The sequence below is a fragment of the Homo sapiens genome, chromosome 3 (assembly GCF_000001405.40).
Source record: "Homo sapiens chromosome 3, GRCh38.p14 Primary Assembly".
Lineage (NCBI taxonomy): Eukaryota > Metazoa > Chordata > Mammalia > Primates > Hominidae > Homo > Homo sapiens.
The window spans coordinates 57,192,771-57,216,829 of NC_000003.12; the positions used below are offsets into that span (position 1 = coordinate 57,192,771).

General features: G+C 40.2%; 1 protein-coding gene across 9 annotated transcripts in view, besides 1 other annotated feature; it reads right to left on the bottom strand.

Moving 5' to 3' along the window:
• HESX1 (HESX homeobox 1) overlaps window positions 5,068-24,059 on the bottom strand; it is a 29,778-nt gene continuing 10,786 nt past the window's right edge. For 4 of the 9 annotated variants that reach the window (NM_001376059.1, NM_001376060.1, NM_001376061.1 and 1 more), the window contains 4 exons: window positions 6,992-7,258; window positions 5,983-6,182; window positions 5,621-5,722; window positions 5,068-5,525 (listed from right to left, as the gene is read on the bottom strand). In NM_001376059.1, the coding sequence (NP_001362988.1) occupies window positions 5,427-5,525; window positions 5,621-5,722; window positions 5,983-6,182; window positions 6,992-7,148 (558 nt within the window). In that variant the 5' untranslated portion in view covers window positions 7,149-7,258 and the 3' untranslated portion in view covers window positions 5,068-5,426. Of the gene's footprint in view, window positions 5,526-5,620; window positions 5,723-5,982; window positions 6,183-6,991; window positions 7,259-18,564; window positions 18,733-24,059 lie in introns of those variants that run through there. The other 5 variants (NM_001376058.1, XM_047449143.1, XM_047449142.1 and 2 more) reach the window with 3 other exon arrangements.
• Window positions 6,901-7,498: an enhancer, noted in NCBI's record as "OCT4-NANOG hESC enhancer chr3:57233699-57234296 (GRCh37/hg19 assembly coordinates)". NCBI's record gives its function as "activates a minimal SCP1, AML or CMV promoter by ChIP-STARR-seq in naive and primed H9 embryonic stem cells {active_cell/tissue: H9 hESC(naive and primed)}" and the evidence as "EXISTENCE:reporter gene assay evidence [ECO:0000049][PMID:30033119]".

Genomic DNA, 24,059 nt, shown 5'->3' on the forward strand with positions numbered 1-24,059 from the left:
CAGTGACATGATCATGGCTCACTGCAGCCTCAACCTTTTGAGTTCAAGCAATCCTCCCACCTCAGCTTCCTGAGTAGCTGGGACCGCAGGTGCACATCACCATGCCTAGCTTATTTATTTATTTTTTTGAGACAGAGTCTCGCTCTGTTGCCCAGGCTGGAGTACAGGGGGGTGGTCTTGGGTCACTGCAACCTCTGCCTCATGGGTTCAAGCGATTCTCCTGCCTCAGCCTCCCAAGTAGCTGGGATTACAGGCACCTGCCACCATGCCCAGCTAGTTTTTCTATTTTTAGTAGACACGGGGTTTCACCATGTTGGCCAGGCTGGTCTCAAACTCCTGACCTCAAGTGATCTGCCCATCTTAGCCTCCCAAAGTACTGGGATTACAGGTGTGAACCACCATGGCTGGCTAATTTTTTAATTTTTTGTAGACCTCGGTCTCACTATGTTGCCCAGGCTGATCTTGAACTTCTGGCCTCAAGCGATCATCCTGCCTTGGCCTCCCAAAGTGCTGAGATTACAGGTGTGAGCCACCATGCCTGGCCTCCACAAATTTCTGATGGCAATTTCAGGGAAAAAGGACTTAAATCTAGTGATTGTTGTTACATCTTAATAAGGTTTAAAATACAAAAAAAAAAAAATCTTAATGAGGCTTAATATTTATACAGGTAAGGATGTACATATTATCTAGACAAAATGCCATTTATATATAGAGAAAATATTATTTCCAAAAAATTATTGGGACTTAAGTAATTATTGATTACTTTAGGTATCAAACACTCAGACTTTTAATCCCATCCCCCTACTCCCACCCAACCCTGCCAAAAAAAAAAAGTGGAAGGAAGGAAGAAAGGGAGGAAGAAAAGAAAAATGTAGTACATGTTTCTAGCTATTAGCATCACAGCCAGTAACTCCATCTACTGGAAGGCTTAAGAGGAAGAGGCAACTCTGGAGTCAGGCAGAACTTGGTCTGAATTCTGGCTGAGCTGCTTCAGCTGTGTGGCCATGATCAAGTCATTTAATCTGTGTCCTTCAATCAGCTCATCTGTAAAATGGGGTAATAATAATCATAATAAAGGCCCGGCGTGGTGGCTCATGCCTGTAATCCCAGCACTTTGGTAGGCTGCGGTAGGCAGATCTCTTGAGGTCAGGAGTTTGAGACCAGCTTGGCCAACATGGAGAAACCCTGTCTCTACTAAAACTACAAAAATTAGCTGGGTATGGTAGCGCACGCCTGTAGTTCCAGGTACTTGGGAGGCTGAGGCAGGAGAATCGCTTGAACCCAGCGGGTGGAGGTTGCAGTGAGCCGAGATCATGCCGCTGCACTCCAGCCAGGGCAACAGAGTAAGACTCCATCTCAAAAAAAAGAATCATCATCATAATAAAAATATCTGATGCTAGGTTTTCTTATTTGTAAAGTGGATTGCCTATATTCACTTTGCAGAGTGACTGTGAAAATTAAATGGGAATATTCATGTGAAGAACCATATTGCATAGCTCATGGTGGACACTTAGTCCATTTGGGCTTCTATAACAAAAATGCCACAGACTGGGCAGCTTATATACAACAGAAATTTATTTCTCACAATTCTGGAGGCTGTGAAATCCAAGATTAAAGCATAGGCAGAAGAAGTGAGTCTAATGGGGTGTAGAGTGTTGAGAGCCACCAGGAGCTGCCTTGTGCTGTGGACTGATGTTCCAACAGGAGTCAGAACAGTCAAAATGACCATGAAAGGTATCCAAAGACTAACTTTGGAGGGGGTTTTATTCCTATGGGGCTCAGTGAAATGGAGATAGCAAGTCACCCTTTGTCAGAATGTGAGTTGAGTTCCATATTGAGAAAATTGAGCAGTTCCCAGCTCTCTGCTGGGAGGAACAAGGCCCAGGTTGATGCTCTGTGCTGGGTTTGGTAATGGGAGATTTATGCCATTCGTGTGATGTGTGATAAGATGCAGGAGGTGAAAGCGGCTATGAACACTGATTAACTCAAAAGTTGACCACCAGCACACACAGCCATTGTTTCCAGCAGCACTCTTTAGTGATGGGCTTTGTCTGGCTGGCTTCACAAAAGACAAATGCCATTACAGGAGACCAAATAACCTTATTTAGGCAGTTGTCAGATAATAGAGACGCTCCAGGTATTAGCCTGACTGCATTAGCTTGATTTGTTACTACTGTTCACCTTGTCTTGAGCATTAATGGAGACAAAAGGCCTAGAATTACCAGGAACAGAGATAAGCTGTGGATTAGAGCCTACGTGTTTTGAGGGAAAGATAATTCTATCTCGGGTTTTCCTTTCCATTTTCATTTTGCTTGATTTTTCCCGAGTCCAATTTTCCCCCTGAATATCATTATATTCTCTCCAAATTTCTAGCAATTGTAATTCCAAAAATGTTACTGATTCATTATTTCTTTTAACAAGATCAGCCTTTATCTTTAGATTTTTAAAAAAGATTTTAGGGGAAATACACTAGCAATCTTTTCTATTACCCTGCTTCTTGAGTATTCTTATATATTATGAACTTGCTTCACAAAAGTTATAATAGAACTTATATTGTTATTAGTATCAAAAAATATAAAAAAATAGGCATATTACATTTATAGTTATTTATTTAATATTATAAATTCTTGTTTTAATTTTTCTGACTTATAAATGTTTCAGTTATAAATATATCATTTCTATTATAAATGATTTCAGTTATACATATGTAGCTTCAGTTATAAATATATAAGTTCAGTTGTAAACACAATTTATTTCAATTATAAATAAAATTGAATTTTAGGGCCACATAAATCAGTTATATAAAATTGTCATTGGAAAATACTGAGACAATGATGGTCTAGGGTTATGATGTTTCTCTCCTCACCAGACTTTTTAGAGGTATGCCAGTTTTTATAATTAAAAAAAAACTTAAGTGCATTCTTAGTTGTCAATCGATATCTGTGATGGTGTTTCATTTTTTTCTAGATTCTATCATTTTGCACAGAATCTTTACATTCCTCAGAGATTTGGGAATTAGGTTTAATTGTAGAAATTCTAGATAAACTATGATTACTCTGAAAAATCTCAATTTATGAAAAGCACTACTTCAAAAATACTTTAATATTAATATTAATAATGTGGAATATTTTCTTATTGTGTATAAGACTTGAAATCTTATCCTAAACCAAGCAGACGTTCAGGAGACAGAGCTATAATTCTGACATGGCAGGATGTCAGAGAGACGCAAAACTGAATATCAAGTGTGATCACATTTTAAAAAATAACAGCAAAAACAACAAATATGTGTGTGTGTACATATATAAAGATGTTTTTGTGATACACAAAAAGATCTTAAAGATGTTTAATGATGGTTATCTCTGAAGGATGAGATTCAAGGGGGATTTTACTCTATTTCTATACTGCTTATATTGTTTGCAGAATACAGAATGACAATAAATTTGGAATTAAAATAAAAGCTTACCCATCATGTGACACATTCCCCTCCAACCCACTCCTCCAGAGCCTACTCCTGGTAACTTCCAGTCTTTCAATTTAACATAATTTCATAATAACCTAATGGAGAACAAAGAAAACTCTTTGTGGATAAATTTGAACTAATACATTTCATAAATAGTGCTTCCAATTTTTATATGAATGGAAGCAGCTCTTTATATTGGAAAAAGTGGCTCAGTCTTTTTTGGAAAACATGTAATGCCTATGTTCTTCCTAACTACCCTGTTGCCCTTCTTTTCCTCCTCCCTCTCCATCTCAGCAACAGTGGAATAGAATAAGCACGCTTATTGTTGACCAATTGTTGGGACACATAGCTCTCAACCTCAAATGTGCTCTCAGTAAATAATTTTAAAAAGCTCTAAAATCTGAGTCATGCTGCGTTTCCTTAGAAATAATATGCAAACTCCCTCTAGTCTTTTATATATAAAAAATAGTGATTATAGATTCAATAATTCAATGAGAACCTTCCACCTTGATCATCACTGGGACATCAGAAAGGACAGAGGACAGAAAGAAAAGAGAAGCAAGGGAGAATTCAATTCAAATGGACAAAGCTGAAATTTGGCTTCCAGTGGACAAAGTCAGAGTCTTAAGCTGACATTTCAAAAAAAAAAAAAAAAAAAAAAAACCACCCACTGAAGTCTTCCATTAACTGGAAAACAAATGCCCAGATTTCCAGCCGAGAGGGCTCCCTTCTTGTTATATATCTTATCCTATTCTCATCTTTTTTTTTTTTTTTTTTTTTTTTGAGACGGAGTCTCGCTCTGTCGCCCAGGCTGGAGTGCAGTGGCGCGATCTCGGCTCACGGCAAGCTCCGCCTCCCGGGTTCACGTCATTCTCCTTCCTCAGCCTCCGGAGTAGCTGCGACTACAGGCGCCCGCCACCGCGCCCAGCTAATTTTTTGTATTTTTTTAGTAGAGACGGGGTTTCACCGTGTTCTCGATCTCCTGACCTCGTGATACGCCCGCCTCGGCCTCCCAAAGTGTTGGGATTACAGGCGTGAGCCACCGCGCCCAGCCCCCCATCTTTAATTGGCAGGTAAAATGGGAAAATGGGAAATGAAAACACATAGTTTTTGTTACTTAGAAAGCACCTTGATTATTTCCAGTGACTATGTCAGAGCACTTACAAAAGGTGGGTCAGTTATCCTACCTTCTCAGTCAACTTAATATTGCAGTTGATTAGAAATCATTTAAACTGGAAATAGATATAAGCTACATGATCACTATCACTAATGAATGAAAGTAAAGTACAAAATTAAACTAGAAAACTATTTAAAATTTTGCATTTATTTGCTGCTTACTTCTTTTGTGCAATTCAATACCAATGGTATAAATATGATAGCTGATGCTTGTATATTTCTACTTTGGCATAATGACTTTGCTTGGAAAAAAAACTTGAAACTAACATACTGTAAGAATTTGTTCTGATAAATGGTGAGAAATTCTCACTGCTTTATGCTATAAATCAAGAGAAGTTGAAGATTCATGAATAAATCATAATTTATAATATAGTGAAGCATAATTATGTTTCAAAATGTGCATGGAAGAAACTAATGAAAACAACTCACACTTTTGTTCTTCAGATTATTTTACTTGAAATACTTTATAATTAGAATCCAGCTTGTGGAATCACTTAGTCATGAGTCTATTGATTTTAACAAACTAATTTATTAGATTAATTTGGCTTACTTAAAAAATAGCAATCTTTTCTGAAAATGTTTATTAAAATATATATAAAAGGTCTTTACTATAACTAAAAGTGCCCAAATATGTACCATGCTATAATAGTATTTACAATATATTTTCAGAAAAAATGACAATATTCAGATTAAATGCAGGAAAGAAAACATCACATTTTAACACTTAATATTTCCACTGATTCTTCATGCTCTGCAATTAGAAGATAATTTCACTTGTTTAGTTTTCTATCTATTCCAGCAGATTTGTGTTGAAATTTTTTTTCGCCATTAGAAACTGTGATTCTCTATGGGACCTTTTCAGTTTTGCACGCCGATTTTGAAACCAAATCTAAAGTTAAGGAAAAATAAAATAGGTCTCAGAAACATTATTTTATTATTCTTAACATTTCAACATCATGAATAACAACTAAATTTGAAAATTACCTGGATTCTGTCTTCCTCTAGATTCAATTTTTGAGCTAAGTCTTCTCTAATATCGATACCAGGATAGCAGTTTACTCTAAAGACATTTTCTAACACTTCAATCTAAGAAAAAAAAATGTTGATATTCAGTATGTCTCCAAAAATGAGCTTTAATTTCTAGAGTAAAATGACTACATTTAAATCTTGGCAATTAATCTGGATGCCTTTTTAAAAATGATTACCTGGAAATTGTTAAAATATGGTAGTCTACTGTTTCATTAATAAGGCTTCTAAACTGAGATACCAAAGTGAGTGGGCTTTTGCTCAACTTGGTGTCAATTAAAGCCTTTATATTATCATTATTGGGTGAAAAAACTTCCCACCTGGTTTTGAGTAAAAGCAGTTCTTGGTCTTCGGCCTCTATACCAACTCAACTCTCTTTTCAAAGACAGTCTTTCTGAGGCTGAAAAGTAATTTTCATATTTCGAAGCTCTTTCTTCTGGCATTGGGTGATCCACCACGCTAGGGAATGAAATCCCACTGGGAGGATTTGGGACATGTAGACATAAGTTACCATCTTTCCCTAAAAACAAAAAAATAAGCCCTGTCTTAGATGGTCAATCTTATGTTCCACAAAGTTCTATAGAGGTAGTTTCAGGAACTCATCTTTCATTTCCTAGTGGAATTCTGGGGTTCACAAGAGAATTGCACCCCGTTAACCAAAAACCAATAAAAAATGAAGATCCTGTCTTGGTAATCCTGCCTCTTTGGTCTCTGAATGTCGTTTATTTTTCAGTGAAAAGAGATTTCAAATATCTGATGTGTCAAACAGGGAGAGATCTTCTGAAGTAAATGCAGGTTCTTGGGATTTCCTGTGAGTGAATTTATCCACTTTGCTCAATCCAAAGCTGATATTCTTTTAATTTCCCATAGGACTCAGTTGGAGGCATTAAAAGTCCTAGACTCTGGCTGGGCGTGGTGGGTCATGCCTGTAATCCTAACACTTTGGGAGGCTGAGGCAGGCGGATCACCTGAGGTCAGGAGTTCGAGACTAGCCTGACCAACAGGGTGAAACCCCCCTCTACTAAAAAATACAAAAATTAGCAGGCCATGGTGGTGCATGCCTGTAATCCCAGCTACTTGGCAGGCTGAGGCAGGAGAATCGTTTGAACCCAGGAGGCGGAGGCTGCAGTGAGCCAAGATTATGCCATTGCACTCCAGTCTTGGCAACAAGACCAACACTCTGTCTCAGAAAAAAAAAAAAAATAATAAATAATAATAATAAATTAAATTAAAGTCCTAAACTCTAGCTCTATGTAGTATGAAATAAAGGGCAAATTAAACACTGTAAATGAAATAACAAAGAATTGAAACAATTAAGCTGTGGCATACCTGATGAGCTGCAGGTGTCTGCCCAGGGCCTGTGGGGTTTCATTAATGGAACACAGTCTTTCTTCTGGTCCAGTCCTAAGATTCTCTCAATTGAAAAGGAGCAAGTTGAGGGTTTGTTTTCCCCGAGCTGAGCGCCTTCCTGAAGGCTGGGAGACATCCTCTCGTGGTCTGCACAGAGCAACAGCTCTGGCCTCTGCTGGCTCTGCCCCACGTGTATAGGGCTGGGATCTTCCTGCAGTTCACCTTATAGCTCCGCTGACAAGGGGGCTGGATTTAGAACGTCACTAATTAAAATCCTGTCTTAGAAAGTTTTAGCATGTCAATGAACACTTGCCCAGCCAGCAGCTTAAGGAGTTAATTGTTTATTTGTTTGCAAGTAATTAGCAACTAATGGCTACACCAGGGGGGCCACCTACAGGGACAAAAAGTGTTATCTCTCCTAAGCAGAACACAGACTTAACTTTCTCTAAAGAAGTGATGCACAAATGTGGCACTTATCTTTTATTTGAAATCATTAATGTATAAAATCAAGCTTTTTATTCTGAAGTTTATACTTTCATGGGCTCCAGTTACCTAAACATACAGGCAAGATACGAGAGCAGTCGAGTAATAAATAATCTAATTTAAGTAAATTTTCTTCCAAGGAAATGGGAAAAAATAATAATCTCTTAATGCTATTACAGTAATTCTGATGAAAATGCCTGTTTTTCATATGCATATGTAATAGGGAATGTTGTCAATGAAAACACAATAGTATTTGGAGTGCAGCATAGTGGAAAAGGTTGGCAATGTTATTAACATGGAGTGTAATTGTCTTCCAAGTGCCTGGATTAATTCATAGGAACAGTTGCACCAAGTATTTTAAATAATTAATGGGCTAATTCCTTTCCTTCCTCTTTTCTTTTAAATGAGAGAGATACATGTTTATATGAAGGTTCATATGTAATCACCTTCAAGCAACTTAGAAGCATGACTACTTAAAGTGAATAATTTCTCTATCACAGTTATTTCAAAGAAAAGAACATAGTTTGCTTTCTAAAGAAAAATTTCCGTCTGTTGATCTTTTGAGGGATGGGCAGAGGATGGAGTCTTTCAAGATGGTAAGGCTTATGAAAATAACCAAGAACAGAATGTTTTAATTTCATAATCCTAAGAAAACTTGAAATTAAAATTAAAGTATAACTGCTGATTGGGAAGATTTTGAACTGGCTGTTCCCCCCGCAAAGGTATACTTGTAGTTTTTATACTCTGCTCCTCCTCTTCTTCCAGTACCTTCCTGAAGATAAATTTAAGTGCTTAGCTTTATTCATTATTTAAACAACTGCTGTTCTTTCCTTCAGGGAAGGGAAAAACAGTCTCCACTCATAGAGGAAATAGCCTCTATAGGATGGAGCTCATCTTCATCAGCTTTTATCCTATTATGATCTCACAAATATTGAGCTAAATTCCTCCTGATGAAAGCTCTCGGGTAAATAAAGGATCTCACATGCAAAACATCAACAGGCATATGGATTTATAAATGTACGTGTAAAACCATTCTGCGGATGAATAAACCGGTGAACATTTATACCTCATGGAGATTTTGTATATAGTGCTGAGATGTAGATTGTGCAAAGGTGGGGGGTATCTTAATCTGGGACGACTAGGAGGAAGCGAGAGAATACAGGACCTTTTCAGCTTTCTTTCTCTCCTTTGAGACATTCATTATTTCCTTCCACAATTGGTTGAGCACCTTCTCAGAACCAGAAAAAAACAAAATACTATCCTTGCCTTCATAGAGCTCACAGTGGTGCAGGGTGGGGGGCAGGAAACAAATAATAATTATAGGTAAATTATCTAGTATGTTAGCCAGGGTAAGAATGAGAAAAGGAAACAGGTGAGCCAGGTAAGATGAATTAGTGCAGGAAGTGGAGGGGTAGATGTCAGTGTAGGCCTCACTGAGCCCCTGAGCCCCGCAGATGAGTGCCTAAGAGGCACAAGGCAGAAGGATGCCACAGCGCATGCCAGAGCAACTCCAGTTTTCAACTTCTTCTTTATTAACAAAGATGTTCCAATATTTTTATTCAGCTTAAATTGATTTTCCTTGGATTTACATATCTATATCTATCTATCTATATCTATCTATCTATCTATCTATCTATCTATCTATCTATCTATCTATCTATCTATTTTTTTGAGACAGAGTCTTGCTCTGTCGCCCAGGCTGGAGTGCAGTGGTGTGATCTCGGCTCACGGCAAGCTCCGCCTCCCGGGTTCACGCCATTCTCCTGCCTCAGCCTCCTGAGTAGCTGGGACTACAGGCGCCCGCCACCACGCCTGGCTAATTTTTTTGTATTTTTAGTAGAGACGAAGTTTCACCGTGTTAGCCAGGATGGTCTCGATATCCTGACCTCGTGATCCGCCCGCTTCGGCCTCCCAAAGTGCTGGGATTACAGGCTTCAGCCACCACGCCCGGCTGGATTTACACATATCATTTTATATATGGATGAGTAGTTGAAAATAAAAGGCAGGAAAAATTATCTAAAAATGTGAGGGAAGCATTTTCTCATATACTCACTCAACAGATTTTTGTTTGTTTGTTTGCTGGTTTGTTTGAGACGGAATCTCACTGTTACCCAGGCTGGAGTGCGGTGGCGTGATCTCGGCTCACTGCAACCTCCACCTCCTGGGTTCAAGCAGTTCTCCTGCCTTAGCCTCCTGAGTAGCTGGGATTACACGTGTGCACCACCAAGCCTGGCTAATTTTTGTATTTTTAGTAGAGATGGGGGTTTCACCATGTTGGCCAGGCTGGTCTCAAACTCTTGACCTCAAGTGATCCACCTGCCTCGGCCTCCTAAAGTGGTGGGATTACAGGTGTGAGCCACCACCATGCTTGGCCTCAACAGACTTTTACAGGGCACTTAATATGTGCCAGACATTATTATAGGTGCTAGAGATCAGTGACGAACAAAACATGCTAATTTCATGGCATGATAAATACATTGAAAGGAGTGAACAAGGTGATGGAGATGCAATATAATGGCAGAGGGTGACTTAAAATACAGAGGTCGATGGTCGATGGTGGAGGAGGGCCTAAGGAAGTGACATTTTCACTGAAGCTGAGCTAGCATGCCAAGAGCCTGAGAAAAAGCACTGCACTCAGAGACAATGGCAAGTACAAAGGTCTTGCAGTTGAAAATCACTTGGAATGTTTGAGGAGGAAGAAGGCAGTAGTTGGAGTGAAGTCAGTGGTACCAGGTGCATTTGGAGAGCCAGGCTAGGCTGGATAATGGATGGCCTTTATAAAGGACATGGTAAGGAGTTCCAGTGCAAAGAGAAGCCAGGGTAGGGTTTTAAGCTGGGACCAAAATGATAGAATTTGTTTTTAAACCTTACTCTGGCTGCTCTGTGGAAAGGGATTAGAGAGAAGTGAGTGCAACCAGGGAGATCAGTTGGGGAGTTATTTATTCAACACATAATTTGCTAAGCATATACTACTTGCTAGGCATTGTTCTAGGTGTGAGGGATACAGTGGTGAAAACAAAGACAATTGTTTAGCGGCAAAAGATGATGATCCTTTGAAAAAAGCGTGAGGAGAGAGGGTAGATTTGGAGAGAAGTGCAATTCTTTAGAAGGTTATGGGAGATAGAATAATTGAATACTTGGTCCCAATTCTCCAATCCCCATAATATCTTATACAACCATCCCCTTGCTGTGGTTTCATGGTGAATACAGTATACCTCCTACCTCCTGATTTTGGGCTTGTTTGTGGGAAGTGATGTGAGCAGAAGCTCAGTGTGCCCATTTAGGGGTTTTGTTTTTGTTTTTTTTTGAGACAGAGTCTCACTCTGTCACCCAAGCTGGAGTGCAGTGGCGCAACCTCTGCTCACTGCAACCTCTACCACCCAGGTTCAAGTGATTCTCCTGCTTCAGCCTCCCGAGTAGCTGGGACTACAGGTACATGTCATCACACCTGGCTAATTTTTGTATTTTTAGTAGAGATGGGTTTTCACCATGTTGGTCAGGCTGGTCTTGAACTCCTGACCTCAAGTGGTCTGCCTGCCTCAGCCTCCCAAAGTGCTGGGATTCAGGCGTGTAATTTGTATTTTCAGTAGAGACGGGGTTTCACCATGTTGGTCAGGCTGGTCTCAAACTCCTGACCTCAAGTGATCTGCCTGACTCGTCCTCCCAAAGTGCTGGAATTACAGGTGCCCAGCCCCCTCTTGTGCTTTTGACTTCACTGTGAGATCATCCCTGAGATAGCTGCTGCCCTACAGCCTGAGCCCCAGAATGAACACACATGGATCAGATCCTAATCCATCTTGCAGCCTGCAGCCAAGTCAGCCAAGTCCAGCCAATCTCAGCCAAATACCAACTGACCTGCAGTTTTGTGAGAAACATATTCATTGTTTAAGCCACTGAAGTTTTTTCTTTTCTTTTTATTTTATTTTATGTTTTTTTAGAGATAGGATCTCACTATGTTGTCCAGGCTGATCTTGAACTCTGGAGCTCAAGCAATCTTTCTGCTTCAGCCTCCAGAGTAGCTGTTGACAACAGGTGCCAGCCATTACACTGGCTCCATTGAAGTTTTTGAGGTTATTATATACATAGCATTTTAGAGGAAATACCTATTTGATTCAGAGGTTAAAGAACATATCTTGCTGATGGATTGGATAGGGAGGTGAGGGAAAGGAAGGCATTAAAGATGACTAGGTTTTTTGGCTTGAGCAAATACAATGCCATTTACTGGGATGTGAAAGCCTGGGCTAGGGAAGGAAAGGTTTGGGGAGTAATGAACACCTCCAGTTTGGATAGCAAGTTGCTATAAGCTCAGTGCTAGAGTGCTAAGTTTATGCATCACCAGCAAAGAGATGGTTTTAGAAGCTATAGGTTTGCATAAGATCATCCAGTGGCTGGGCACAGTGGCTCATGCCTGTAATCCCAGAACTTTGGGAGGCTGAGGTAGGAGGATCCCTTGAGCCCAGGAGGTAGAGGCTATAGTGAGCTGTATTCATGCCACTGCACTTCAGCCTGGATATATGAGTGAAACCTTGTCTCAAAAAAAAAAAAAAAAATTACTCAGTGAATGGTGCTAGATACAAGAAGGGTCTCAGGACTGAGTCTAAGGTTCTCCAACATTTGGAGATAGGGACAGAAGTGGTACTGGAAAAGGAGCAGCTAGCAAGACAGGAGAAAAATCTGGAGATACAAGAATACAGTCAAGAGAGGGAAAAGGGTCAAGGAAAAGAATGGTTACAATAGCATCTCTAGTGGTCCCTGCTTCCACCCTGGACCCACCATGGCTTTCTATGAACACAGCAGCCAGAGGGATCATTTAAAAACATAAGTCAGTTCATGTCACAACTGTGCTCAAAAAATGGCTCCTGGCTGGGCATGGTGGCTCATGCCTATAATCCCAGCATTTTGGGAGGCTGAGGGCAGAGGATCACTTGGTGCCAGGAGTTCAAAATCAGCCTGGCTAACACAGTGAGACCCCAACTCTACAAAACAATTAAAAAATTAGCCAGGCATGGTTGCCTGCACCCATAGTCCCAGCTATTTGGGAGGCTGAGGTGGGAGGATCGCTTGAGCCCATGAGGTCAAGGCTGCTGTGAACTATACAACTGCACTTCAGCCTAGGACACAGAGCAAGACCCTGTCTCAAACAAACAAACACAAACACAACTCCCCATCTCAAGAAAAGTCAAAGTCTTTACAATGGCCTGCAGGACCCTACATGACCTGCCAGCCTTCCTTATTTACTTGATCTCACCTCCTACTCCTCCCTCCCATGTTCACTGTGTTCCAGCCACACTGGACTCTTCCTGAAAATATCTGGCACAGTCTTCCCTCAAGGCATTTACACTGGCTGTTGTCACCATCTGTAATGTTCCTCCCCTGTGAATCCCCACAGCTTACCCATTTATCTCTTTCAAGTATTTGCTCAAATATCATCTTCTCAATGAGGCCTACCTTTCTCCCCTTTTAACCTGCAACCTCTCTTCCAGCACTCCTGACATCCCTTGCCCTGTTCCCATTTCTATTCCACAGCACTTAACCACCTTTGGCCATATTACAAAATATAGGTTTATTATGTTTATTGTCTGTTTCCTCTCTATAGGATTTTTTTGTGTCCTGTTCACTCCCTAGCATTCAAAACAGTGCTTGGGCTAGGCGCAGTGGCTCACACTTGTAATCCCAGCACTTTGGGAGGCCGAGGTGGGCGGGTCACTTGAGGTCAGGAGTTTGAGACCAGCCTGGCCAACATGGTGAAACAGTGTTTCTATTAAAAATAGGAAAATTAGCTGGGTGTGGTGGCACGTGCCTGTAATCCCAGCTACTGGGGCAGCTGAGGCAGGAGAATCACTTGAATCCAGGAGGCAGAGGTGGCAGTGAGCCGAGATCACGCCATTGCACTCCAGCCTGGGTGACAGAGCGAAACAACTTCTCAAAAAAACAAAAACAAAACAAAACAAAACAAAACAGTGCTTAGCTCATACTAGGTGAAAGAATAAATGATGGTCAACTGTGTTAATGCCGCTGAGAAGTTGAGTAACATGAAGACAGAAATATATCCACTAGGTTTGTTAACAAAGAGGTATTATTGGCAGCTTTGGCAAGCCTAAAAAGTAGAGAAAAAGCCAGACTTGAAAGTAAACTGAAGAGTGAATGGGACATTTTTGGTCTGGCAATATGCTGGGTCATATTCCTTGTAACACCCTTCTATTACAAAACAGCTTGATTATAGATAAAACATACCTTTAAATGCATTGCTGAGATCTCAACAAGTAAGAGAAAATGTGTTTGTTCATCAGACAAAACAAAAACCAAAACCAGTAACCAAGCACTGAAATCAGAACTGCGAGCAGTGATCAGTAACCAAATGGTAAACATGGGGTCGCCTCCAAGGGCAAATAACTTTAGCATCAAAAACCAAGATATTAATCCTCAGACTAGCAGTAGGTGGGGCTGAAGACTCCTCTTGGTTCCTAGAAAAGGCAAACTAAACCCTCTCTGGAGGAAAGCATCCCTAATTTAGGTTCACAAGATTTCCACAGATTAACAGCAAGCAAACATAAGCTCATAATCAAAGATCATCAAGCATCTGAGGCCAGCCACCTCATGAGGGAAAGCCAGCAGAAACGAGATTTATAGCTTGTTCCAGAGACTGCTAGTTGTCCACCAATATCCATTCTATCCTTCCTCAGTAGCAGTATAATTTTTTTTTTTTGAGTTTCAGTCTGTCGCCCAGGCTGGAGTGCAGTGGCACGATCTTGGCTCACTGCAACCTGCACCTCCTGGGTTCAAGCAATTCTCTTGCCTCAACCTCCTGAGTAACTGGGATTACAGGTGCGTGCCACCATGCCGGGCTAATTTTTTGTATTTTTAGTAGAGATGTGGTTTCACCATGTTGGCCAGGCTGGTCTTGAACTCCTGACCTCAAGTGATCCAACGCACCTCGGCCTCCCAAAGTGCTAGGATTACAGGCATGAGCCACTATACTGGGCCACAATATAGTTTTTAGGTAAAGGTTAACAATGACATTTCCCAGACTGCCTTGCATATAGGTGTGATCATGTGACTTCTTACCTCTGAGATGTGAGTAGAAACAACATGTCTAACTTTCAGGCCCAGCTATTAAAAGGTGGGGGTGACCCCTCTGTGTTCCCATTTTCTCTTTTCTACTGTCTGGATTGTGGACAAGATGGTGGGAGCTGACAAAATGTTGAGAATAGCAGTGTAATGAGAAGAGGACTTGGAGCCCTGTGGATTGTGGATTGGACTTTCCATATCAGTACTGGACTACCTACTTGGACAAAGAATAAATGTCTGTCTTGTTGTTTGGGGTCTGTAAGTTATAGCAGTCAAGTCTATACCATAACTGATACAGATCTAGAAGAAATTCAGATATGGGAGTTAACAACAACAGATTATAAAATTTCTAACAAGTGAAAGTTTAAAGAACTAAAAGTTAGAATCATCAATAGGGACAAGCAAGAAGAAATTATCAGAAATGACTGGGAAGATTTTAAAAAGAACTAAATGGAATTCATAAAATAAAAAATGCATATAATTATTGAAATATACTCTGGATAAGTTAAAGAGCATTTTGGGTCGTCATGAGAGCGCCCTTTCCCACACCCTGGCCAATACTCACTGTTATAAACATTTTAAATTATTGCCAATCTGACGCATAAAATAATCTGTTTCACATTTCTTCAAGTAAGGTTGGGCATTAATTTCTTTACAGGTTTACTAGTCAATGTGTATTTCTTCTTTTGTGAAATAATAGTGTATTCCCTCAGCCCATTTTTCTATTAAAGTGATTGTTTTGTTTGTTTCTTCACTTTCTTCAGAAGGTGGGGGTGATGGCAGGGACTAAATGGGAAGAAAAATGAGGAAACTTTTTGGGGTGATGGGAATGTTCTATATTTTGATAGATTTGGATTACACAGCTGTATGCATTTGTCAGTACTCATTGATTGGTACTCTAAAATTTGTTCACTATATGCAAAATTTTATCTATAAAAGCATAAACAAGTACTTAACTTGTCAATGTTATGTATGCTAAAGAGTTTAAGAGGGAAGTATATTGACGTCTACAACTTGATTGATTGATTGATTGATTGAGATGGAGTCTCGCTCTGTTTCCCAGGCTGTAGTGGTGCGATCTCAACTCACTGCAGCCTCTGCCTCCCGGGTTCAAGCGATTCTCCTGCCTCAGCCTCCCTAGCAGCAGGGATTACAGGCGTGTGCTACCATACCCGGATAATTTTTGTATTTTTTTTAGTAGAGATGAGGTTTCACCGTATAGGCCAGGCTGGTCTCGAACTCCTGACCTCAAGTGATCCACCCACCTTGGCCTCCCAAAGTGCTGAGATTACAGGCGTGAGCCACGGTGCCCGGACTTGTTTTATGCATTTTAAAGTAAGTTGTAGGCCAGGCACGGTGGCTCACGCCTGTAATCTCAGCACTTTGGGAGGCCGAGGCGGGCGGATCACTTGAGGTCAGGAGTTCGAGACCAGCCTGGCCAACACGGTGAAGCCCAGTCTCTACTAAAAATACAAAAATTAGCCGGGCATGGTGGCACATGCCTGTAATCCCAGCTACTTGGGAGGCTAAGGCATGAGAATAGCTTGAACTGGGGAGGCGAAGTTGCAGTGAGCTGATATCATGCCACTGCACTCCAGCCTGGGTGACAGAGTGAGACTGTATCTAAAAAAAAAAGAAAAAAAATGCATAAAACATAAAATGGATGGATGGATAAATATGTGATGCTTTCATTATCACTCTTATTCAACATTATTGTGTAATTCTGGATGATTAGAACTTCTAAACCAATTGAGTTTTCTGGGATGATGAAAATGTTCTTCATCTGAGCTATCCAATATGGTAGCCACTAGCTACATGTGGCTAATGAGCACTTGAAATGTTGCTAGTGCAACTGAGGAACTGAATTTTAAATGTAATTAAGTTTAATTTAATTTAAACTTGGACAGACACACATGGCTAGCGGCTCCAAACAGAATAACACAGACAGAGAACATTTCCATAACTGCAAGAAGTTTTACTGGATAGTGCTGGTCTAGAAGTATAGAACAATACTGAAAATAGTGATGATAGGCCGGGCGCAGTGGCTCATGCCTGTAATCCCAGCACTGTGGGATGTGGAGGCGGGGTGGATCATCTGAAGTTCGAGACCAGCCTGGCCAATATGGTGAAACCCCGTCACTACTAAAAATACAAAAAATTAGCTGGGTGTGGTGGGGCTTGTAGTACCATCTACTTGGGAGGCTGAGGCAGCAGAATTGCTTGAACTCCGGAGGTGGAGGTTGCAGTGAGCTGAGATCACACCATTGCACTCCAACCTGGGAAACAGAGCGAGACTCCATCTCAGTGAGACTTCATCTCAAGAGTAAAGCTCCATCTCAAAAAAAAAAAAAAAAAAAGAAAAGAAAATAGTGATGATAAAAACAAAAAACAAACACCTTTGTTTTGTTCTGACATAAGAACAGTATTTCACCATTAAAATAGTATCTTCTGCTGGTTTCTAATAAATGCTGTTTATTTAGCACAATGTTATAATGAATACAAACACAAAATATCTACAGAGCTTTATTGCTTCTCCAGCATTTTAGCATATTTGTGTTTAATCTTCTCACGAATCTTTTATCATTTGGTAGCTGAGAAAACAGAAATTGAGAGTACAGTTGTAATACCAGAAGTCACTAACTAGGAAGTGGCAGAGCCTTGACTTGTATTTTCTGTCTCCAAATCCTGTTTTATTGACTTCACCTATTAATGGCCATTGTAACATCTTCACCAATGATCTCATGGTATAAATACCAAAGTGTACTAATCAATTAAGAAAAAAACTGTGAAAACTTTGCATATGATATCAATATCTTTCAACAATTACTTTGATATGAGAAAGAAAAGTCTGACATATTGACATTAGAGAGAAGAGATTTTAGGAATAAAATTGGACAGTCTATATTTCAAATATCTATACATACAAGATGAAGTAAAAACTGAGAGGTTTATGTTTTTTCTTGTTTTAGGAACATGTAAATCTATTCATGTTTTGATAAATATTTATCTTTAAATTGTGTATTTCAATTAATATCCAAATCATTAACATCAGGAAAAACGTACTAGGTCTGAGGTGTTTTGGCAGAGATTTCTGTAAACCAGCCATACAATTATTATGCTGTGAGCGTAATAAGAAATGGAATAAGCAAAGCTCCAGTGAACCTTGCCCCTTCCTTACTTTTGCATAGGAATTGCACTGATTTCACACTTTCAGTATTTTTAATGTTAAAATGTGTTTTCTTAAATATAAGTTTATTTTTTACTGCAATGCCTTCAGTGTTTCCTAGAACAATGCCCAAGTAGACATTCAATAAAATTTGTTGAATAAGTGAATTAAATGGATGGATGGACAGATGGGACTAGCAAGATGTGACATTTGAAACCTGACATGCAACTTAAATACTGTACTAGTATTGTTTATTGTTTAAGTTTACTTGAACAGGGTTTAACTATTGTTTTTTAATGTGTAAAGTAATCCCAGTTTTCTCTGAACTACATGTGTATCACTCCAGGGCAATCTACAGAAGAGAAGACACTATGGCATTCTGTAACTAAAATTTAATAAAAATTGAGATAGGGCATTCATTTAAAAATCTGAGTTTAGGCTGGGCGCAGTGGCTCATGCCTATAATCTCAGCACTTTGGGAGGCCGAGGCGGGCGGATTGCCTGAGGTCGGGAGTTTGAGACCAGCCTGACCAATATGGAGAAACCCCAACTCTACTAAAAATACAAAATTAGCCGGGCATGGTGGCACATGCCTGTAATCCCAGCTACTAGGGAGGCTGAGGCAGGCGAATCGCTTGAACCCGGGAGGTGGAGGTTGTGGTGAGCCAAGATCGTGCCATTGCACTCCAGCCTGGGCAACAGAGTGAAACTCCATCTCAAAAAAAAAAAAAAAAAATCTGAGTCTAGGCCAGGTGCCATAGCTCATGCCTATAATCCAAGCACTTTGGGAAGCCAAGGTGGGAGAATTGCTTAAACCCAGGAGTTCAAGACTTACCTGGGCAACACAGTGGGACCTCGTCTCTTCAAAAATTGAAAAACCTTCAGCCGGGCGTGGTAGCATGCGCCTGTGATCCCAGCTACTCAGGAGGCTCAGGTGGGAGGATCACTTGAGCGTAGGAGGTTGAGGCTGCAATGAACTGTGATCATGCCACTACACTCCATTCTGGGTGACAGAGAGAGACCTTGTCAAAAAAAAAAAAAAAAAAAAAAAAGCCAGGCATGGTGGCTCACGCCTGTAATCCCAGCACTTTGGGAGGCCAAGGCAGGTGGATCACAAGATGTCAGGAGTTCAAGACCAGCCTGGCCAACATGGTGAAACCCCGTCCCTACTAAAAATACAAAAATTAGCCGGACGTAGTGGCAAGCACCTATAATCCTAGCTACTGGGGAGGATGAGGTAGGAGAACTGCTTGAACCCAGGAGGTAGACGTTGCAGTGAGGTGAGATCGCGCCACTGCACTCCAGCTTGGACGACAGAGTGAGACGCCATCTCAAAAAAAAAAAAATCCAAGTTTAAAATCTAAAAATCTCGAGTCATGTTGAACAATTCATATTTGTGGCACTCTGTGGTTTCTATGGCCCTTGTCTGCCATTGTTACTAGAGACACACAGGAGCTTTCCCAGTGATTACAAGGTTCAGGAGAGCAAGATCTGTTTCATACAGTCTTCGATCTCCCCTGCACCCAGCACAGTGCCTGTCACATAGGAAATGTTAAGTAAGTTTATTGAGTACATTTGGTTTATAACAATTAAAAAGTATTTCAGCCTTTGCTCTTCTCAAATCTCAAAAGAGTAAAGTATTATATTTTTCATTTTCAAACCAGTTAAAATTGTTTACAGTATAATGTCTTGTATATATCAAGCCCTTGATTTAAAAAATTTGATATGAAGTCAACCAAAAGACAAATGCATTTTTATTTTTAAAAGATTCATTCTATAGGCTGGGCGTGGTGGCTCACACCTATAATCCCAGCACTTTGGGAGGCTGAGGTGGGTGGATCACGAGGTCAAGAGATCGAGACCATCCTGGCCAACGTGGTGAAACCCCGTCTCTACTAAAAATACAAAAATTAGCTGGGTGTGGTGGCACGTGCCTGTAGTCCCAACTACTTGGGAGGCTGAGGCAGGAGAATCCCTTGAACCAGGTAGGTAGAGGTTGTAGTGGGCCAAGATCACACCACTGCACTCCAGCCTGGGGACAGAGCAAGACTCTGTCTCAAAAAAAAAAAAAAAAAGATTCATTCTATGCTGATCCAAGTAGCAAAGAGAAAAAACGTAAATTTTAAAAAAGATTCATTCTATACAACAGTACATGGAGAAAAATATGATAGTCTCCTTTACTTTTACCCCATCTTACCTCCCCAGCTTACTGGCTATCACCACTAACAATGTAGCGTTTCTCCTGCCTGTCTTTCAAAATACTTTGACTTAAATAGGAGGATGCACATATGCACATATTTTTTTTTATTATACTGTAAGTTCTAGAGTACATGTACACAACGTGCAAGTTTGTTACATAGGTATACATGTGCCATGTTGGTTTGCTGCACCCATCAACTCATCATTTACATTAGGTATTTCTCCTAATGCTATCCCTCCTCCAGCCCCTCACCTCCGACAGGCCTCGGTGTGTGATGTTCCCCACCCTGGCACACATGCACATGGGGTCAAACGTGTACTGTTCTGTAATGTGGTCCACTCTCCCATAGTGTGACACACACACACACACACACCACAAACATGTATAGCTCTGCCTCTCCCTTCAACACCTGCTTGGCACTACAAGTGGATGAACCATAATTTTATCAATCTATACCCCAGATAATGAGGCATATAGGTTGTCTCCAATTTTTTACTATACCATTTTGGCAATGAACATCCTCTACATACATGTTAGCACACATGCAGGGGTGCACGGAAATGCATGGAAATCCATGGAAAACTTTCTTTGAAAAGCATATTATTTTTTAGTGGATGCTGCCATATTTCCTTCTAAGAAATCTTTACCAGTGAACACTCTCATCCAGTCAAACCCTTGTTCTTATGTCCTGCCTGGATTGACAGTGGGAACAAGAAAACTCAGGGCTGAGCTAAATTAGACTCAGGTTTTTCTCAGACTCAACATTCAAAGATAAAATGGTTTTGGATTTAAGGCCCCAAAGGGCTCAGGCCTAAACTTTAGTGCTATTTAATCTAATCGCTGTAGATTAAATGGGAGTTGTCAGTTAACCCAAGAACCTGATAGTTATTTATAACATTGTTCCTGGGGGATAAATGTTATGGTTTTAAACAACTTTAATTTTCTGGCCAGGCGCGGTGGCTCACGCCTGTAATCCCAGCACTTTGGGAGGTCGAGGCAGGCGGATCGCGAGGTCAGGAGTTCAAGACCATCCTGGCCAACATGGTGAAACACTATCTCTACTAAAAATACAAAACTTAGCTGCGGTGGCAGGCATCTGTAATCCCAGGTACTAGGGAGGCTGAGTCAGGAGAATTGCTTGAACCTAGGAGGCGGAGGTTGCAGTGAGCCGAGATCGTGCCACTGTACTCCAGCTTGGGCAACAGAGTAAGACTCCGTCTCAAATAAACAAATAAATAAACTTTTCAATGATAACAAACATTTGTTAAACTCCAACATATTATCAGGGAGTGCACTAGGACTCAGAGCATAGAGATGAAATCATTTCTGCCTTCAAGAAACTCATGATTAAGAGGATAGTAATTAATGTTGATTTTATTAGGTATGATAATGTGATTATGGTTACCTAATATGCCCCTTTAAAAGACACTGAAGTATTTACAGGTGAAATTTCATGATGTCTGGGTTTTGCTTTCAAATATTTTAGGAAAACAGAAAACCAAGAAAGAGATAATTGAGGCAGGTATTGCAAAATGTTGATGAGTTGAATTAGAGACTGGTATATGTGGATTCATTATTCTCTCTACTTTTGTAAATATAAATAGTAACATTCTCTTTAGTCTTCTAGGAACACCAGTATGTACATACACAATTACAATATAATAAAATAAAGATACAGGCACAAGTGACTATGGGAACAGAAAATGTCCCAAATCTACTTGAGTGAGATTGAATAGGACCGAGGAAGGGTTAAGAACCGAACTCTGATGTCAGATTATCTGGGTCTAAATTCCAGCTCTTCTTAGCTATGTGACTTTGAGCATATAACTTAGCCTTTTTGAGCCTGTTTCTTCTGCAATAAAATGGGAATTATTATAGTGCCTAATTAAGGATCCAATATATTAATATCTGCAAAGCTCTTGGAATAGAGCCTGACACATAGTAGACATTACATAAACTGCTTACCATTACTTACTTATTGCTGTTATCAATGTTATTATAAGGGCTTTTCAGAGATGTGCTGAGGCAGAGATGTTTCAAGAAAAGGTCAGAGAAAAGCAACATAACATAAGGCCCATCAGAGACAGGGGTGTGTGTGTGCTTGTCTGTTGAGGGGAGGAGGAGAAAGTTAATGTGATTCCAATATTTCTAGCTTAGATGACCAGATGAATGATGGTATCATTAACTAAGAAGGGAATATAGATGAAGGAGGGTTTATCAGTCAAAATACAATACAAATTGTATTTCTAATTATATACACAAATGGGCAAGTATTTAGCAAACTGAATTACTTCAGAATTAAGACAAAGTTCCCAGAATGAGATGGTAGAACTCCAGTGAAAATGGACAGAATGTGATAAATGATAAAGATCTAAAAATATTTTAGGGAATAACTTTATCTAGAATAGTAAATATTATTGTCATATATCTCACACATATAACCTAAATAAGTGAGTTCATTTTAGTACTAGAAGACTGCAAATAACAGTTCAGAAATCTAGCAACTCAGATATTAGAAATAGTTTAAAATATATATATATTTCTAAAAGGTTGTAATCAAATAAGGCAGCTATCATGGTTACCAATGGATTCTTCTAGGGAGGTACGAGAATTCTCAGTGGTGTCTAGGTTCTCATAAAAGTAGGGATAGAAAAGAGCAAAGATGAACTTTGGAATATTTTACTTTGAGTGCCCAGAGGTCTTACCACTGTCCAGGACCCAAAGTTTCTTCTTTTCTATAGCCAAGACACCTATTTAATAATCTCTCTTTAAAAACAGAAAAATGCTGGCCAGGCACGGTGGCTCACACCTGTAATCCCAGCACTTCTGGAGGCTGAAGCAGGTGGATCACCTGAGGTCAGCAGTTCGACCAGCCTGGCCAACATGGTGAAACCTTGTCTCTATTAAAAATACAAAAATTAGCCAGGTGTGGTGGCGGGCGCCTATAATCCCAACTACTCAGGAGGCTGAGGCAGGAGAATCGCTTGAACCCGGGAGGCAGAGGTTGCAGTGAGCCAAGGTCGTGCCATTGCACTCCAGCCTGGGTGACACAGTGAGACTCCATCTCAAAAAACAAACAAACAAACAAACAAAAAAACCACAGAAAAATGTTAACACAAAAATAAACAATTTAGCAATGTATCATGTTCAACGGTCTATTCACGATTATAGCTATGTACCTGGTTTTAATCTGTAATGTTTTTGACTTAATTTTGAAACAATCTCAAACTTACTTAAAAGTTGCAAGTACAGTACAAAAACCTTTCTCTCCAACCATTTGAGTAGTTGCTGACATGATGCCCCATCAACCCTGAATAGTGTTTTTCCTGCAAACAAGGATTTCCTCCTATATAATCACAATCAAACCATCAAAATCAATAAAGTAACATTGGTTATATCACTACCATGTAATCATCAAACCCCATCAAGTTTCATTCATTGCCCCAAATAACTTCCTTCACAGTAAAATAATCCAGTTCAGAATCACACATTGTCTTCAATTGTGTCTCTTAAGTCTCATTCAATCAGCAACAGATCCTCAGTATTTTCTTGACCTTCATGACCTCGACACTTTTCAAAGATTACAGTCAGCTACTTTGTAGAATGTCCTTCATTTAAGGTTATCTGGGCTGGGCACATTGGCTCACACCTGTAATGCCAGCACTTTGGGAGGCTGGAGGCTGAGGCAGGCAGATCACTTGAGCCCAGCAGTTAGAGATCAGCCTGGTAAGGGAGACCTCATCTCTACAAAAGCCACAAAAAATTAGCCAGGCCTGGTGGTGTGCATCTGTAGTCCCAGATACCTAGGAGGCTGAGGTGGGAGGATCACCTGAGCCCAGGAGGTCGAGGCTGCAGTGAGCTATATTGTGCCACTGCACTCCAGGCTAGGTGAGAGTGAGACTCTGTCTCAAAAAATAAAAAATAAAGTTATATCTGATGTTTCCTCGTGACTAGGTTCAGGTTGAGCATCTTTGGTAGGAATGTCACAGAAGTAATGCTGTGTTCTCATTATTTCCAATCAGGTAGCACATGATTTTGATATGTCCCATTACTGGTGATATTTAATTTTGATTAAGATGGTGTCTGCCAGGTTTCTCCACTGTAAAGTTACTCTTTTCCCCTTTATAATA